The following is a 19,253-nucleotide window of genomic DNA, read 5'->3' on the forward strand; positions in this document are numbered from 1 at the left end:
GGGTATTGCTCTGTCACCCAGGCTGGAGTACAAAAGCATGATCATGGCTCACTGCAGCCTTGACCTCCCGGGCTCGAGCAATCCTCCCATCTCAGCCTCCTGGGTAGTTGATACTACAGGTACACGTCACCAAGCCTGACTATTTATTTGTTTTTTGGGGGGTTTTCTTTGTTGTAGAGACAGAGTCTCACTATGTTGCCTAGGTTGGTCTTGAACTCCTGGGTTCAAGCGATCTGCCTACCTTGGCCTCCCAAAGTGCTGGATTACAGGCGTGAGCCAACGTGCTCAGCCTCTATTTCCCGTTGAACTGGTTTTGGTAAGATATTTTACAGGCTAACTGTGTATTTCATCTAGCAGCCAGCAAGCGTTTGCACATCGTTATAAATTATGTCTTGTTATAAACTTGTTCTAACAACAATTCACTCTGAGCAGGCATTCCGCATGCTCATTACATAATATTTTTGTCTCTGTGCAGCTGCACATCTGCACCGTAGTGTAGCTCCCTGTCCCCGGGTGACCGATTGGAACTAGGTTTCTCCATCCCCAATAGGCCTCACTGTGTCTCATCACACCAAAGTATTTTTAAAAAGGCTTAATGAAGACAGCATCCTCTGTATCATCCCCCGGGAAGGCTGAGCAGGTTGCGCACCATAAATACACTTCAACGTTCCTATCTGCCTAAGCCTTGAATCCCCTCCTCTATGATATAGCAAGGTAAATGCCTGCATCCTGACTGCATTTAATGGACCACGGGCCCTGGGTTGGGGTTGCAGCACCCAGTGAGCTATGAGAGCAGCCCCCAGCTGCTCCGTCTGACAGATTGAAGCCAGGCTCTCCAGCCAGCGCTTCCAGCTTCATCAGTTCTGTTTGTTCAACGTTATGTTCCTTCTGCCCTGGTCTCGCAGCCTGAAATTCATTCCTTCACGTATTCCTCAGGATTCTGACATTATAAATTGGCAAAGGTCTTGCAATTGTTTGAATGCCTCCTCCCAGATCAGCTTTGGTCGTCATTACCCGAGGGTCTGCCAGGATGTTATGGTTCTGAAAATAATAAAAGGTGGGAGTAAAATCAACAGTCCCTTCAGGGCAGCAGCCTCAGGTGAGTTAATTAAAGTCTTGAGGCAAAAGAAGATTGATCTCCAGTAGGGAAAAGAGCTGCTATTGATGACTAGGGAGATGAAGTCTGGGGTTCAAGGTATTCAGATTTATCAAAATCTGCCCAAATTTCCACTTCTAATTCTTAGAGTCTCTCTCCTTCCCAATTAATCCCTTGTTACAGAAGAGATCTAGCAAGGTCATGAATTAAATTTGTATTTTATTTTACTTGGAGTTTGGTTTTTAGAAATCCTGGCCCTGCCTGTAATCCCAGCACTTTGGGAGATCACGGTGAGAGGATCACTTGAGCCTAGGAGCTCAAGACCAGCCTGGGCAACACAGGGAGACCCTCATCTCTACAAAAAATTTTTCAGATTAGCCAGGTTTGGTGGTGCGCACCTGGAGATCCCAGCCACTTGGGAAGCTGAGATGGAAGGATCGTTTGAGCCTGGGAGGTAAAGGCTGCAGTGAGCTGTGATCACGCCACTATACTCCAAAAAAAAAGAGAGAGAGACTGAGAGAGAGAGATAGAGAAAAGAAATCTTGGCCCTGTGACCATAAGAAATAAGGAGTTCTTTCAGAGTAATCTAATAATTCTCTGGTGGTCTATCTCTGCCTTCAGCTGGAAATTTACAGTCCTAAATTTGTCTCTTTATTTTTCCTCCACTTTTTCCAGTATGGTCAGAAAAATCCCGCCGGTTCTACAAGAAGAATCTAATATAAGAATCTTATATTGCAATAGCTACTTGATGTCCCAAGGCCTTGCTTGCCATAGGCAGTTGACCCCAGGCAATTACAGATGCTAATTTAGGTAACTGATTTGTCAAAGCATGTCATGAACGGCTAGTGTCTCACTTTCTACTGGCAATGAAGTCACTGTGGCCTTCAAATCTAAAAAGATGAAAAGAACAATTCCAGATTCCTATATTCAAATATTTGGTCTCCAAAAACCCCTTTTAAAACCAAAACAACTGTGGAAAGAGCATGCAGAGCAAAAGCCAGAGAAGCCGCCAGTGGGTGGGAGAAGCTGCCACTAATGGGCAAGGATGGCTTTCAAGAGCTCCCAAGGGAGGGGCTGGGCATCTCACTTGCCCCACACTTGGCTACTGGCACCTTCAGAAGACAGTGTCCTCTCCTTCTCTCCTGTCTTCTAGATCTTTCTCTAGAGCCTCTCACTGGGGAACAAAGCTAGAACCACACAAGGGGCTTCTGGGAAGTCTCTGCCATCCAGAGGAAACCTTCAAAGGGAATGGTGGTGACAGGGGATTGACACGGACAATCCTGTATATCGAGATGGTTTCTCTTATAGCTGTTCTGCTTTGAAGACTCCAACAGACCTACACCCTCTGAATGCTAACAGTAGTCTTAAAAGTGTCATGGAAGGCCGGGCACGGTGGCTCACGCCTGTAATCCCAGCACTTTGGGAGGCCGAGGCTGGTAGATCACCTGAGGTCAGGAGTTCGAGACCAGCCTGGCCAACATGTTGAACCCCCGTCTCTACTAAGACTACAAAAAATTAGCCGGGGGTGGTGGCAGGTGGCTGTAATCTCAGGTACTCAGGAGGCTGAGGCAGAAGAATCGCTTGAACCTGGGAGGTGGAGGTTGCAGCGAGCCGAGATCGTGCCACTGCACTCCAGCCTGGCAACAGAGCAAGACTCTGTCTCAAAAAAAAAAAGTGTCATGGAAGGACTTTGGCTCTTCCCCACAATGGCCACTTGGACCCTGGACTAGGGCAGACAGCAACGAAAACCGAAGAAGGAATGGAAAGAGGATAAAAAATAATATATTTTTATTTTTATTTTATTTATTTATGTATTTATTTTTGAGATGAAGTCTTGCTATGTCACCTAGGCTGGAGTGCAGTGGCGGGATCTCGGCTCACTGCAACCTCTGCCTCCAGGGTTCAAGCGATTCTCCTACCTCAGCCTCTCGAGCAGCTGAGATTACAGGCATCTGCCACCACACGTGGCTAATTTTTTTTTTTTTTTTTTTGAGATGGAGTCTGGCTCTGTTGCCCAGGCTGGAGTGCAGTGGCGTGATCTCGGCTCACTGCAAGCTCTGCCTCCCGGGTTCACGCCATTCTCCTGCCTCAGCCTCCCAAGTAGCTGGGACTACAGGCACCCACCACCACACCTGGCTAATTTTTTGTACTTTTAGTAGAGACGGAGTTTCACCTTGTTAGCCAGGATGGTCTTGATCTCCTGACCTCGTGACCCACCCACCTCAGCCTCCCAAAGTGCTGGGATTACAGGCGTGAGCCACTGCGCCCGGCCAACACCTGGCTAATTTTTTTTGTATTTTTAGTAGAGACTGGGTTTCACCATATTGGTCAGGCTGGTCTCAAACTCCTGACCTCAAATGATCCGCTGAAATGATCTACCATTTGGGTCTCCCAAATGTGCTGGGATTACAGGTGTGAGCCACCGTGCCTGGCCAAAAGTAATATATTTTTTAAAACCTGGCAGGAGGAATTTGCCTATCTGAGATATAGACTATAAGGGCTGACGGTGCCTGTGAGGAGAACGAAGATGCCCTTTTGCTCTGGAGGACTGTATTTTCAGAGCTGTCAAATAGCGTGTTCCCTCTGTTTGTTTCTCTCTCTCTGAATCCCCTTCCCAAGGTTGCAAGCATAATCAAGGCCCTCCAGAGCAAAGGTGCTCGATTTCACTAATAAAGCAATGCAAAATGAAACAACTGTGTGATCCTATTAGACCTCTCATATCACTGAAAATAAAGCAAGTGACAGCAAAAGTCCATGAGAAGAGGAGGAAACGGGCATGCTCACTCTCACTCATGACAGTGCAAATTCGTGTGTTTCTGGAAGGCAATTTGTTAACTTACACGATAACATTTTAACTAAACATGCCCTATTACTCTCAGAAACCTAGCCCACGGAAATACTGAAACTGCCTTTGCAGAATGGCTCACACCCGTGATCCCAGCACTTTGGGAGGCGGAGGCAGGCGGATCACGAGGTCAGGAGTTGAAGACCAGCCTGGCCAAGATGGTGAAACCCCGTCTCTACTGAAAATACAAAAATTAGCCGGGCGTGGTGGCAGGCGCCTGTAATCCCAGCTACTCGGGAGGCTGAGGCAGAGAATTGCTTGAACCTGGGAGGCGGAGGTTCCAGTGAACCGAGATGGCACCATTGCACTCCAGCCTGGGCAGCAAGAGTGAAACACCATCTCAAAATAAATAAATAAATAAATAAATACAAAAATTAGCTGGGCGTGGTGGTGCATGCCTGTAGTCCCAGCTACTGGAGAGGCTGAGGCGGGAGAATCGCTTGAACCTGTGAGACGGAGGTTGCAGTGAGCCCAGATCACGCCACTGCACTCTAGCCTGGTGACAGAGCAAGACTCCATCTAAAAAAAATAATAAATAATAATAATAATAATAATAATTACAAGTAATGAATTAGAGAAAACTAATGTGACTGACTCCGTCTTGCTTCTAACCTCACAGGCTAAATTGCTTTTTTGCTTATTTTAGTGCAGAGTTCAAGAAACTATGAGAGGAATTTAGTTTATAGCTAAACTTACAGGCAAGGAAAACTGATTCCCCCCACCACTCCTCTCCTTGTCCAAAGACTGAAGCTGCATTCATAAGACAAGGGTAGAATTAAGGTAGAGGCTTGAACTTTGCTAAGGAATAGGCAGAATTAAACAATGACTGCCCAGTGCTTAGCTTGTTTTTCTATAATTTGCTTACTGTCCAGAGTCACTTAACTGGGGGTTAAGTGGCAAGATTTATAATTCCCCCAACTACTCCTATAGATGACATCACTATTGTGAAATCTAAAAAAACTGGTCTTTGAGATATTTTTCAGATTTAGCATTTTGATAAACCAACAGATACCACTTTGTTCTGAGACTGCCCACCCCCACCACAACCCACCCCAACTCCCAGGAACTGATTCAGCTGCGTGAAGGCAGATTTATTTATTTATTTATTTATTGAGACGGAGTCTTCTCCACCCGGGCTGGAGTGCAGTGGTACAATCTCAGCTCACTGCAACCTCTGCCCCCTAGGTTCAAGGGATTCTCCTGCCTCAGCCTCCTGAGTAGCTGGGATTACAGGCACGCACCACCACACCTAGCTAATTTTTGTATTTTCAGTAGAGACGGGGTTTCTCTATGTTGGCCACGCTGGTCTCGAACTCCTGACCTCAAGTGATCCGCCCACCTCAGCCTCCAAAGTGCTGGGATTACAGGCATGAGCCATCGTGCCCGGCCAGATTTAGATGCCCCTGTGATTTCATCTCCAGTCAATCAACGGTTCCAGTTCCCCAACCCCCTGCCCACCAAAGTACCCTTAAAAAAAACCCTAGCCTCTGAATTCTCAGGGAAATGGGTTTGAAAAATTTCTCCCTGTTCCCCTTGCTTGGCAGGCCCTGTGATTATTAAACTCTTTCTAGGTGGCAACACCTCCCGTTCTCATTGGTTTCTTCTAGGGCAGCGGGCAAGAAGAATCCATTGAGCTGTGACGATTCTGACATGAGCATGAAAAGATGTGTCCAAGGATGCTCCGTGGGTGTGGTTTGTAATAGTCCCAAGGTGGAAATATCTGAAGCTCCCATCAGTGGGCATCTGGTTAGTGTAGCAATATGATAAGGGGGACTTTCAAGACTCCAAATTCAGATAAAGAGTCATCAAAGAGCCCACATCTGCAGAGAACCATAAACAGTGGGGGTCAGATGCCCTCTCAGGGTTCTGCAACCCCACATCCTCACTAACACACTCTGGCCCTCCTCTGGGCCAGGGAGACCTGGGCTAGAGAGAGAGGGAAGAAGTGTCAGAGAGGTGAGTGCTTGGCCAGGTAAGAAAAACTGTGGCTTTTCCTTCCCCCTTACCGTGAAGAAGGAGCTGGGGTGAGCTCCTCTGCCCCAAGCCAGGTGAGGATATCTCCCAGAGGAGCAATGGTAGAGCCTGGCGGTCTTCACTAAGGGGAGACTCACATTTTGTTCCCCAGTGAGAACAACCCATCGTGCCTGCCGGACCTTGCTGTGCTCTCTGCCTTCTGATAGGGAGGAGAGGGTTGGAGGGAGACCACGGGGGATGGAGGCTAGTGGGGCTGCCACACTTCCACCCCATGACGCCACAGGATGAAGGAGCTTCCAAAATGCACGTGGACCCCAAGGAAGGGAGTGAGGCGTGAGTGGCCACGCAGAGCCCATCCAAGGGGGCAGACAACTGGGTGAGAACACCCCAGCAGGCCAAGGCTGTGGGGTGTGCCCTAGAGGAGGGCAGGACCCGAGGCAGTATGGGGAGCTGCTGAGCCAGTGCATCTCCCTCACGGGGGCGCTGTGCAGTGTAGGTGCCCCTATGGGACACGCACACCTCCTCCAAGAGCGGCCCCCGCAGCGGAGCAGAGCTGGCCAGAGGAGCACTAAGTAAGCCAGGCTGACAGAGGTGCTGGAAAAGAGGTCCAAGGGGGAGCTGGAACTGTTACAGGCATTCAAACCAGAGTGACTCCATTTTGAACAGGGGCTGGGCTACTGGGCTGCGTTCCCAGGAAGTCAGGCATTGTTAGCCACGGGATGAAATAGAAAAAAAAAAGTTAGCCAGGTCTGGTGGCGCACACCTGTAGTCCCCGGAAGGATCGCTTGAGCCCAGGAGTTCGAGGCAGCATTGAGCTAAGATCTCGCCATTGCACTCGGCCTGGGTGACCGAGTGAGACCCTGACTCTAAAATAAGTAAATAAAAAGAACCAAAAAGTATCTAATTATGGATGATTTTTACTTTCGTTTAGACGCTATTCTCTATAATAAAAAATGTTGCATTTGTAATCAGAAAATTAAAAAAGAAAGAAAGAAAGAAAGAAAGAAAACTGTTAAAACTGAATTGGTAGAAGAATGGGTTAGTGAGACAATCCCTCGCAGAATCTTGTGCTTTGGGAAATCTCCGTGCCGTTTGTAGAAGGATTGCACCAGTGACGCGGTGACACCCATCTCCTCCCAGCCCCGCCTCCTTCCTTCCGGTCCGCTGCTGAGGCTTGGCTCGGCTTGTGCTGCCACCTACAGGTCAGCGACAGACATTACTTCAACCCCCCTTCCGCAGGGGCAGCCGCTCCCAGCTGCAGTTTTCCCTTTTCATTTTAAGCCCTTGGATTTCAGAGTTGAGGATGGAGATGTGTGGGAACTTCCAATGTGAAGTCAAGATAGGGGAGAGGGCAAGACAGAATGAGATAGAGAACACCTGTGTGTGCATCTGTACATGCAGGGCCCAGTGCAAAATGAAGATGTGGGGGCCCCTTGTTCAAAAATTATTAAGAATCTCAATATTGTAACAGTAGGGCATTAAATCAAGTGCAGCGCCCTCTGAGAATGAGCCGTCTGGGACTGCACAGGTTATAGGCTGCATGCCCATGAAGCCGACTGGCAACCTTGTATTTGGACTTAAGTTAGCAATGCTTTCGTATGCTGTGCCTAGGTGTGTATGTGTACAAATATGTATATTTGTGTGTGTGCATCATGTTTGCGTGCACCTGCTTGTACAAACGTGCTTAGATGTCTGGTTTTTGTTTCGTTTTGTTTTGTTTTCTACACGGAGTTTTGCTTTTTCACCCAGGCTGGAGTGCAGTGGTTCAATTTCAATTTGGGCTCAGTGCAACCTCCACCCCTGGGTTCAAGCGATTCTCTTGCCTCAGCCTCCCGAGTAGCTGGGATTACAGGCACCCGCCACCATGCCCAGCTAATTTTTGTATTTTTAGTAGAGATGGGGTTTCACTATGTTGGCCAGGCTGGTCTCCAATCCCTGACCTCAGGCAATCCACCCACCTCGGCCTCCCAAAGTGCTAGGATTACAGGTGTGAGCCACCACGCCCGGCCTTAGATGTCTGTGTGTAAGTTCATGTACAGTGTGTTTGTGTGTGTGTGTGTGTGTGTGCATATATGCATGTGAGACAGCAGGTTTCTCTGTTCCAGGGAAGGACAGGGGCCTCAGGTTTCTCACTCCAAGGCTGCTGAAGAATAGCAAGAGGGGCCGGGCGCAGTGGCTCATGCCTGTAAACCCGAGGCAGGCAGATCATAGGGTCAGGAGATCGAGACCATCCTGGCCAACATGGTGAAGTCCCCTCTCTATTAAAAATACAAAATTTAGCCAGATGTGGTGGCGGGTGCCTGTACTCCCAGCTACTCGGGAGGCTGAGGCAGAAGAATCGCTTGAACCCAAGAGGTGGAGGTTGCAGTGAGCCGAGATCATGCCATTGCACTCCAGCCTGGTGAAAGAACAAGACTTTGTCTCAAAAAAGAAAAAAAAAAAAAAAAAGACTAGCAAGAGGGTGTCTTCCTATAAGAGGAGTTGTCAGGTCCCACCCACTGAACTGCAGGGCTCTTGGCACAGAAAAACTCTCTCCTAACCTCAGCACTAAGGGAAGACCAAACTCTAGCTGGCTCCTAACAGCATCAGGACGTGTCCCTTGGATGACTCCAGCACCACCATCCTCTCCCCATTAAAATGTCACCTGAGGCTGGGTGCGGTGGCTCCTGCCTATAATCCCAACACTTTGGGAGGCTCAGGAGGGAGGATCACTTGAGCCCAAGAATTTGAGACCAGCCTGAGCAACATAGCAAGACCCCATCTGTACCTTAAAAAAAAAAATGGCCCTCACACCTGTAATCCCAGCACTTTGGGAGGCTGAGGCAGGCGGATCACCTGAGGTCAGGAGTTAGAGACCAGCTTGCCCAACATGGTGAAACCCTGTCTCTACTAAAAATACAAAAAATTAGACAGGCGTGGTGGTGGTTGCCTGTAATCCCAGCTATTCAGGAGGCTGAGGCAGGAGAATCACTTGAACCTGGGAGGCGGAGGTTGCAGTGAGCCAAGATCGTGCCACTGCACTCCAGCTTGGGTGACAAGAGCGAAACTCTGTCTGAAAAAAAAAAAAAGGCCAGGCATGGTGGCATGCACTTGCAGTCCCAACTACTCAGGAGGCTGAGGTGTGAGGATCACTTGAGCCCAGGAGTTGGAGGCTGCAGTGAGCTATGATTGCACAACTACTCCAGCCTGGGTGAGGGAATGAGACCTTGTCTCTAAAAAAATAAATACATGAATAAATAAATAGATAAATAATGCTGCTTGAGAAAGCTCAACATTACCTGGAGAATTGACTGTTTTTGTTCTAGCCAATGCCTGACAATAGGTCCCTGTATTTGGCCGTTAATTCATAAGAAAAAAGGTTTCATTGGCTCACAGTTCTGCAGACCATACAGGAAGGAGCATGCTGGCATCTGCTTCTAGGGAAGCCTCAGGGAATCTTTTTTTTTTTTTTTTTTTTTTTGAGGTGGAGTCTTGCTCTGTCGCTAGGCTGGAGTGCAGTGGTAGGATCTCGGCTCACTGCAACCTCTGCCCCCAGGTTCAAGCGATTCCCCTGCCTCAGCCTCCCGAGATGCTGGGACTGCAGGCACGTGCCACCACGCCTGGCTAATTTTTTTGTATTTTAGTTGAGACAGGGTTTCACCATGCTGGCCAGGATGGTCTCGATCTCCGGACCTCGTGATCCACCTGCCTCGGCCTCCCAAAGTGCTGGGATTACAGTCATGAGCCAGCTGCCTCAGGGAACTTTAACTCATGGCAGAAGGCGAAGCGGGAGCAGGCATGTCTGTCACATGATGAAAACAGGAGCGAGAGAGTGAGGGGGGAGGGGCCACACAGTTACCCAATCAGATCCCACAAGTACTCACTCCTACTGCGGGAACAGCACCGAGCCACGAGGGACCCACCCCATGACCCAAACGCCTCCCACCAGGCCCCACTTCCAACATTGGGGATCACATTTTAACATGAGATTTGGGAGGCAACAAACACATACCCAAATTATACCAGCCCTGGCCTCTCTTTCTTAGAAAATTAACCTAAGAACAGCTTACGATGATGAATCCCTCCCTGGTCCCTTTGAGATATGTGTGCATCTTCTACAGCGCAGGAGCGGCCTGAAAGTTGTTCCTTTGAAATGGAATCCTCAGGAAGGACAGGGCCTCTGTCTCCCTGTCTCTGGGTGAACTGAATCCCAGCTGAGATCATTGCCAGCTTGCAGACATAGACACAACTGGCGGGATGGCTCCGACCCTGCCCAGCCCTCATCGCTGTTCACTTGAGTGCCTGCTGTCTTCCCAGCTCCCACGTTCTTTCTTTCAAACGTCTGCCCAGCCACCTCTGCAGAAGCTGGAACAGAGCTCAGCTCTTTCCCCTGCTGAACCAAATCTGCCTCCACTTCCACTGCCTGCACTCATGTCGGTTGTGTTTCCCTTTGACACCCACTCTGCCACCTGGACCATTCAGGGTGCTCCCCCTGACTCCTGCCGCCAGCGCCCACACTGGCCTCCTATGACAGGGACACACGCTACTGCCACCGCCGCTGGAGCAGAGCCTGCCCCAAGGCTGCGAGTGCCAAGGAGGTGCAGCCCTCCCCTGCCATGGGGGCAGCCCTACCCCAACGCCCCGATAGCTCTGAGGTTCTACAGATTCTACATGCTTCCTAGAGTTCCTGGGGGGAGTTAAGTTCCAGGGGTAATTTCCGTCATCGTGTACTTTTTTTTTCTTTCTTTCTTTCTTTCTTTTTTTTTTTTTTTTTTTTTTTTTGAGATGGAGTCTCTCTCTGTCTCCCAGGCTAGAGCGCAGTGGCATGATCTCAGCTCACTGCAACCTCTGCCTCCCAAGTTCAAGCGATTCTCCTACCTCAGCCTCCCGAGTAGCTGGGATTGCAGGCGCCCACCACCGCGCCTGGCTAATTTTTGAATTTTTAGTAGAGACAGAGTTTCACCATGTTGGCCAAGCTGGTCACGAACTCTTGACCTCAGGTGATCTGCCCGCCTCGGCCTCCCAAAGTGCTGGGATTACAGGTGTGAGCCGCCCTACCCGGCCAGTTGTGTACATTTGATTGGCTTCCTTCTTTCTCTCTCTTCCCCACTCCCCTCCCTGCATCTCCTCATGAGGGTTCCCAAGTAAACCCTTGCATGGGAATCCTTGTTCCGGGGTCTGCTTTTAGGGAACCCAAACTCTGAGGCTCTTCCCCAGCCATGTGGCTTGGTCCCCAGGGACTGTTCTGGAGGGGCTTTGGTTTTTATTCTCAGCTGGGCAATGTGTAATATGCTTATCTGCCCCCTGCAGGCAAAGCCCGGCCCAGACTCCACCCTAGGGTCTAATTTCTGTCCCTACAGATATCCTTCATCTCCCTTCTCAGCTTTCCTGCGGCTAAACTGAAACGGTTTCTCCTTTGTCCTTTCTTTGTTTCTGATCATTTCTGGGTGGCTGAGGTATGTGGGAAATATACTAAGGCTAAATCACACTTATCCAGCCCCTCTTCCACGCCAGGTACTATGGCAGGCGCTTCATCCCAGGAGCCCCTAGACCCTCACAACCGCCCCATAAGGTAGATTCTCTGACTATCCCCAGTTTACAAATGAGGAAACTGAGGCTCAGAGGAGGCCTCTTGCCCAGGGTCTCACAGCTGTTTGGCAGCTGAGCTGGCATCCAGAGCTGAGTCCTGGTTCTGGCCACCCTGCATTGAATTAGCCAGGGCAGCAAGGTCACTGAGAGGGTGCCCCAAAGGAAGCCGAAACACCTGAGCTCAATTCTGTGTCTTCCTCTCACATGCTTTGGGACCTTGACAGTTCACTTTATTGTCCATGCAGGCCTCAGTTTCCCCATTTGTTAAACAGGGAGGTGCAGATAGGGGTCTCTAAAGACCTCCCAGCCTTTTTCCTCTTGTTCTTCCTCAGGGAGGGAGCACAGTGTTATAAAGACTTCAAGTCTACAGTCCAAGAAGCCCTGCTTGGACTGTGGACCTCAAGTCAGCCTGTAATTATCTCGGGTTAATTTATTTGAAGAAGTTGCCTGGCTTTTCCCCAAATCCTACCAAATGCATCTGCAGCTTTTCCTTCTCCTTCACCCAGCTTTAAAATATCTCTCCCGCTTCATAATTAGGAAGAATTTAATGACTAGCAGCAAATATGAAAATCTCCATGTAAACTGCCTCCTCTGGACTTTTGTTTGTTTGTTTGTTTGTTTGAGACTGAGTCTTGCTCTATCACCCAAGCTGGAGTGCAGTGGTGTGATCTCGGCTCCCTGCAACCTCCGCCTCCTGGGTTCAAGTGATTCTCGTGCCTCAGCCTCTCAAGTAGCTGGGATTACAGGCACCCGCCACCACACCCAGCTAATTTTTGTATTTTTAGTAGAGTCGGGGTTTCATTATATTGGCCAGGCTGGTCTCAAACTCCTGACCTCAAGTGATCCGTCCCCCTCGGCCTCCCAAAGTGCTAGAATTACAGGCGTAAGCCACCGCACCCGGCCTCTCCTCTGGACTTTTTACATACGTATTCTAGACCTCAACCTTGCCCACCATAGTTTGTACTTCCCCTGAGCAACGTGACCTAGGTGAGGTTAAAGTTGAGGACCTCCAAGTTAAACCACCTGGATTCAAACTCCAGCTCCAACACACTAGCTGTGTGACCTTGGGGGAGTCACTAGAATTTTCTGTGCCTCAATTTCTGGATCTATGAGGCAATGAGGACAATAAAGGTACCTACCTAGCAGGGGTGTTGTGGTGACTAGGTGAGTTCATGTGTATACAGTGCTTTCTCAGTGCTAGCTATTATTCTTAATGGGGTCACCCTGTGGTTCAAGTCCCTTAAGTCTGAGAAAATGTGGTCTCTCCTTGGTGAATCAACTTATCTGTGTTGGACATTGCAAGAAGGTTGGGGAGTAAGGTAAATAGACCTAACTAAATCTTATATGAAGTCCAGGAACAGTGGCTTACATTTGTAATCCAGCACTTTGGGAGGCTGAGATGGGTGGATCACTTGAGGTCAGGAGTTCGAGACCAGCCTGGCCAACGTGGTAAAAACCCCATCTCTACTAAAAATACAAAAACTAGCCAGATGTAGTGATGCACACCTATAGTCCCAGCTACTCAGGAGGCTGAGGCACAAGAATTACTTAAACCCGGGAGGTTGCAGTGAGCTGAGATCTTACCACTGCACTCCAGCCTGGGTGACGGAGTGAGACTTTGTCTCAACAACAACAACAAAAATATTTAAAAAATTAAATAAATAAATATTATATAAAACAAAATCTAGGGAAAATCCCTTAGGGGGGTCACAGGTCAAGATGACTGGAAGAAACCTATAATCACCCAGAATTGATTGCACAAAAGAATGGGCTTGCTTGTTTAGGGACAGCCAGAGAGGATGTGCTGTGGGAACCATTTGGGGAGCAAATGAGCAGCTGAACTATTTATTTCTGACCTCCAAAGGGCCCACAGTGACCAATTCCCTTCCCTCTGGAGACTTGGAATGTTTTACCCTAGGAAGTCTGCATGGGACCCTGACCTGCTCCAAAGCTCTAGTAACGCTGACCCCAAATCACCTGGGGCCAGGAGCAATGCTCCCCAGCTTCTAAATTCCCACCCTGGAAGCCCCAGGCAGTTGACTTCCATCCCCCAGGCTGCACCCTCTCTCTCCTGACCCTTCACCACCTTGTATTAATTTCATCTTTGTCTCATATTATCATCTCTCTGAGCCAAGGACTACTCATCTCTGTCTCCCACATGGTGCCAAACACTCAGCGTATAGTAGGTGCTCAGTAAATACTGGTCTGCTGGGGCCAGACACGGTAGCTCACACCTGTAATCCCAGCACTTTGGCATGCCAAGTTAGGCGGATTGCCTGAGCTCAGGAGTTCGAGACTAGCCTGGGCAACATGGTGAAAACCCATCTCTCCTAAAAATACAAAAACTAGCCAGGCATGGTGGCATGCACCTGTAATCCTAGCTACTCAGGAGGCTGAGGCAGGAGAATCGCTTGAACACAGGAGCCAGAGTTTGCAGTGAGCCGAGATTGCACCACTGCACTCCAGCCTGGGTGACAGAGTGAGACTCTGTCTCAAAAAAAAAAAAAAAAAAAAAAAAAAAAAAATATATATATATATATATATATACTGGCCCCTTGAAAAGGGATTTGGATAGGAGGGGCCCAAGCCTGGCTCCTGCCACTGCCCTGGACAGGTCACCTAACCCCTTTTGCTTGTCGTAAACCAGGGAAGCCAGCAGCACAGGGAGGCTAAGATGCCCTCACTCAGACTGATTCATGCAATGCCAGCAATGAAAGAAACTCAACCCCTTGTCCTGAGAGTAGGCTTACTCCCTTCTCTGATTATCTGCTTCCCAAGTGCGATGCGTGCAGTGTGGGCCAGAGGAAGGAAGTGGCCAGGCCTTTGGCAGGCACATTTCTCCATGAGCATTGGTAATGGGCATCTGGATTAACACATCAGTCCATCTAACCACCCCCCAAAACAGGACTCCTCTTCCTCGGCTGACCTCCCAGGCTTCTGAACCTGCAATTTTAATAAAATCATTGTCATAATCACAGCCGTTGTAACTGATGTTCATAGTTTTCTCTGTCTGTGCCAGGCGAAGTGAGGAACAGCGAAAACTATGTATAATAATATGGAGTGACGCAATCAATTTTAGCGTGTTCAAAGTTCTGAGAAGTCTTGCCCAAAAGCAATCTGTATAGTGTTATGTAAACCAGCATAACCTGATTTATTTGACAATGGGATAATTTTTCATAGAACATCTGTTAACATGCCACAGAGTTCTTTTAAACATATTTAGGAAACAGGGCCTTGAGGAAGGAAAAGCATAAGTGTTTATTGCGTGTCTATAACTGGCTCTGTGCCAGATACATGGCATGCATTTTCTCAGGTAATCTTCACAATAGCCTCTGAAAGAGGTGGAACTGTCCCTCTGTTAGTACTCTAGAAATGAGAACTGGCTCTGACAAGCGAGGTGGTCTTCCCAAGAACACGAGCCTAGCTAGAGTCTCTTGTTGCCTTTCTACAGCAAACCTGCATTTGAATTTTCCTCTGCTGTGGCTCCTTCTAGTTCCTGTTTATTACAGAGTCCATGATTCTGGGAGGGAGAATGGGAAAAAGATCAGCCTACCACTCTGACATCATTGAGAGTTTGGATTTGCAAAGCAGGCAACATAAACTCCTCTCTTGCAATTTAAGCATAAATGTGTTCAATGTGGCCTCAGTTTCCTCATCTATAACATAGAACTGGAGTGGGAGTAGGAAAGCACGGTTAGAAAGATGTAACTAAATGGTCTCTCTGTCCCTCCACAGCATGTACATTGTGGGCTTATGATTCCGAATCTCTGGGCCTGCAATTTGGACATACTGCCACCAGGGGGCGATCTGGACTGGGATTATAGCCATGGCAGGCTCATCTACTGTATCCTGGGTTAAAGCAACCTAAATTGATTTTATTGGTGTTCCCTTGAGTGGTACACGGATATTACAGAAATTATGAAGATGGTTTTGAGTCACAATGGGCAAATGAGGCCCTGCATGAATTGAAGTGTGACCAATTTTTTTCACTATATGAATTAATGCTTACGTACTACCTGGCCCCTGTGCCTCCTTGAAAGTTAAGAATCATTGTGAATTCCGCTATCTAGGGACCTCAGGAACATGAAGAACAAGGAATGCTATTGGGAACCACGCCAGTGAAATAAAAGACCTTCTTTAAGTTAAAAAAAATCTACGCATATTTTATTTACTTTGCCAAGATTACAGCTTTTCTCTCTCTAGAACATTCAATGTTTAATTAAAAAGGGTTCCTCTTTCTGAGGATGAATCTTTAACTGAGACAAAGTCATAAAACATGAGACATTTGTTCCCTTATGTCAACATTGAAATTGCTCACTTAACTTTAGATCAGCTCACCAACACTGTGTTTCTCAGACACTCTTGCTAGCATCTTAGTTATCTCATCAGAAAGCATTTTGGCAGCTCTGTCTTGTAAAGCTGCTTCTGAAAAGCACTAAATTAAATGTAATGTGAAGTTGGATTTCTGTGGCATCCTTCCCATTCACCTTCCATACTCATACCCATAAGCAATGGACTGGTTTTGTGTGTCCCTTTTGAAGGCTACATCAACAGTACATTTCCTGCTGTAGGGGTCGTTCTGCAGATTGTCATTTTCACCCGCAATGATGTATTGTGAGATCTTCCTATGCTGATACATGCAGATGTGGTTCATTTCTTTCCACTGCCATAGATCATCCCATTTGTCCATTGTCCAGCTAAAGTGCATTTAGGTTGTTTTACTTTTTTTTTTTTTTTTTTGAGATGGTGTCTCACTCAGTTGCCCAGGCTGGAGTCCAGTGGCACGATCTTGGCTCACTGCAACCTCCGCCTCCTGGGTTCAAGTGATTCTCCTGCCTCAGCCTCCAAGTAGCTGGGACTACAGGCACCTGCCACCATGTCTGGCTAATTTTTTTGAATTTTTAGTAGAGACACGGTTTCACCACATTGGCCAGGCTATTCTCAAACCACTGACCACAAACGATGTGCCCACCTCAGCTTCCCAAAGTGCTGGGATTACAAGCATGAGCCACTGCACCCAGCTGAGAACAAGAACTTTTAATACTTGCCAGGTTGTTTTCCTATTGTAAACTATGCTGCAATGGAGATCTTTGCACGCACTCCCTATATACATGTTCAAGGGTTTGTCTAGGCTGTGTAGAAATGGAAATTGTAGGTTGTATGATATAATTTCAATTTTGCTAAATACTCACCCACGGCTCTTGGCTCATAATTCATCAAGGGTACGAAAGTTTCCATTTCCCTCATTCTCATCTACACTTGCGTTTTAATTCTTGCCAACCTGATGGATTGTTTTCATTTGCATCTCTGATTATTGGGGATAATGAGCATCTTTTCAACTCTTCCGTGTGGCTTCTTTAGTCATTAACTCTTTATGTTCCAGCCAGACTGTAAATTCCTAGAAGGAAGGTCTGAGTCTCAAATGTAAGGCCCTCACAGAGGACAGCCCGGTCCAGGCATAGACTCTCTGTTTCCTACCTCACCTCTGTGTTCCTCCTTGGAGCCCTACCTTCCAAGCTTAACAAGCTACCTGCAGCTTGCCAAATACATCATGCTGCAGTTTCATGCATACCATGCCCTCTGTCTGGAATGCTGTGCCTCTTCCAGTCCACCTGAACATCCTTATTCATGTTCCATGATTCATCTCAAGAGCCACCTCCTCTATGAAGCCTACCATATGACCGGCACCCTACCCCATCCCAGGCAGAGCTAACCACGTTCTCCTTTGTGCTTTTGCTGGCCCCACGTGAACGTCTCACCGCATGTGTAAGACTTCTGAGCATCTATGTACTGATGTATTTGTCTTCTCGCCAGACTCTGAACTCTTTGAGGACAGGCGCCATGTCTTATTTATTTTTGCACGTCCAGCTCATTGGTCAGGGCTGGGCAGGGGCATATCATGGGTAGATAAGTCTCTAAGGCAGCTTCTTCCACATCAATCTCCTGCAGACTGCAAAGCTCTGAGGTCTGGACTGTATTGCATATTGCATATGCATATTGCATATTGTATTGCATTCATATTGCTGTTTTCACCGTGCCTAATAGGGCTGAGTGTTTGTGGTGCTCCGTCAACAGGCACCACAAACACTCAGCCCTGTTAGGCACTGCACTGTCATACTACGTACACTGCAGTACGATTGCCTGGTAGAGTAGAAGTGACTTTGGATAGAAATTCCTGGGTTTGCACCCCCAGCTTCCTATGCATATAATCTTGTACAATTTCCTTGGCCTCTCCAAGCCTCAGTTTCCTCATCTTCATAAAGGGAGTGATAACAGCTCTGAGGACTGGTGTAAGGATGAAATACAGTTCCGTATATAAACCATGTGGCACATAATCATTTGCCACGTTATCATTTCTATGTCAGAACAGCACAGAGTCTGCTTTAGCCACAAGACTTTGGGTGGCTCATTTTTTCAGGTGTCACATGTGATGGGCACATAGTAGTTGATGAAGACAAAGTCTAGTGTTTCCAGTGCCCAGAACAGTGTCTTGCAGAAACTAGGTACCCAGTAAAGAAGTTGAACTGAACTCTGCACTTTGCACATAATTAGATATTTGATGAATATTAAATCAAGTCAGATTCACTTCCCTGTATTGCATTCTGATCCAACCCTACCTTTAAGTCATTCCTGGACGGGCGTGGTGGCTCACGCCTATAATCCCAGCACTTTGGGAGGCTGAGGCGGGTGGATCACTTGAGCTCAGGAGTTCAAGACCAGCCTGGCCAACATGGTGAAACCTCATCTCTACTAAAAATACAAAAATTAGCTGGTCATGGTGGTGCACTCCTGTAATCCCAGCTACTCGGGAGGCTGAGGCAGGAGAATAGCTTGAACCCAGAAGGCGGAGGTTACAGTGAGCCAAGATCACACCACTGCACTCCAGCCTGGACAACAGAGCCAGATTCCATCTCAAAAAAAAAAAAAAAAGAAAAGACAAAGAAAAAAAAGTAAGTAAGTCATTCCCTTTTGTGGGAGGAGGGGCAGTTGAGGGAGAAGTAGGAACATGTCTCCTCTTCTCCCAGTAGTGATTTTGATTCTTCCTCTCGCTTTTGATCTTTCAAAAGCAAGATGACCACCAGGACAAACTATTATTTTGAGGTCGCCAATGAACCATTCCTGCATACAGTAATACTCTTATGTAGTCCCCTCTCACAAAGTCTGGGCTTGGCCATATGTCTCTTTGGCCACAGGGACATTGACAAGCCAGTGCAAGGCTTGATAAACCATTGCACATTGAATCTTGTCCCCTGAGACGGCTCCTTCTTGAAACCTAGTCCCCATTCCAAAAGAAGCTCAAGTGAGCCACGAAGAGAGGTCCCATGAGAGAGAGTGATGATCAGCCAGCCCCCCACTGTGGTTCTCATCCCAGCTGAGGCACTAGGCATGGGAGAGGAGCAGGCGTCTTCACAGCAGATGCTATACAGAACAGAAATGAGCCGTACCTCCTGAGCCCTGCCTAAATTGCTCAATCATGAGCAAATTAAGGATCATGTCATTTTAAGCCCACAAGTTTTGGTGGTGTTTTGGAACACAGCAAATAATAAATAACCCATGGGTAGAGCACGGTCTGAGGGTGCAAGTCAGTGATCTCGGGGTGGAGTGTGCTGCGGGCTTAGAGACTCATCAGGTGAAAAGCTTCAGGATCAACTGGAAAACAGAACCGTCTGACCTAGAACCCATTATCTGGGGACTCTTCCCTGGGGCTCCAAGCCCCTATGGTCTGAGGATGCTTTTGGCTCCTTAAACAATGAGGAGACCTCAGGCTCA

At 47.8% G+C, this 19,253-nt stretch overlaps 2 annotated features.

Moving 5' to 3' along the window:
• Positions 9,593-9,920: a transcriptional cis regulatory region, noted in NCBI's record as "candidate enhancer chr22.1656 targeted for multiplex CRISPR interference". NCBI's record gives its function as "positively regulates MPST gene expression in K562 cells {active_cell/tissue: K562}" and the evidence as "EXISTENCE:mutant phenotype evidence [ECO:0000015][PMID:30612741]".
• Positions 10,936-11,535: a transcriptional cis regulatory region, noted in NCBI's record as "candidate enhancer chr22.1657 targeted for multiplex CRISPR interference". NCBI's record gives its function as "positively regulates LGALS1, MPST and TST gene expression in K562 cells {active_cell/tissue: K562}" and the evidence as "EXISTENCE:mutant phenotype evidence [ECO:0000015][PMID:30612741]".

Source organism: Homo sapiens, chromosome 22, assembly GCF_000001405.40.
Source record: "Homo sapiens chromosome 22, GRCh38.p14 Primary Assembly".
In the NCBI taxonomy this organism is placed as follows: Eukaryota; Metazoa; Chordata; class Mammalia; order Primates; family Hominidae; genus Homo; species Homo sapiens.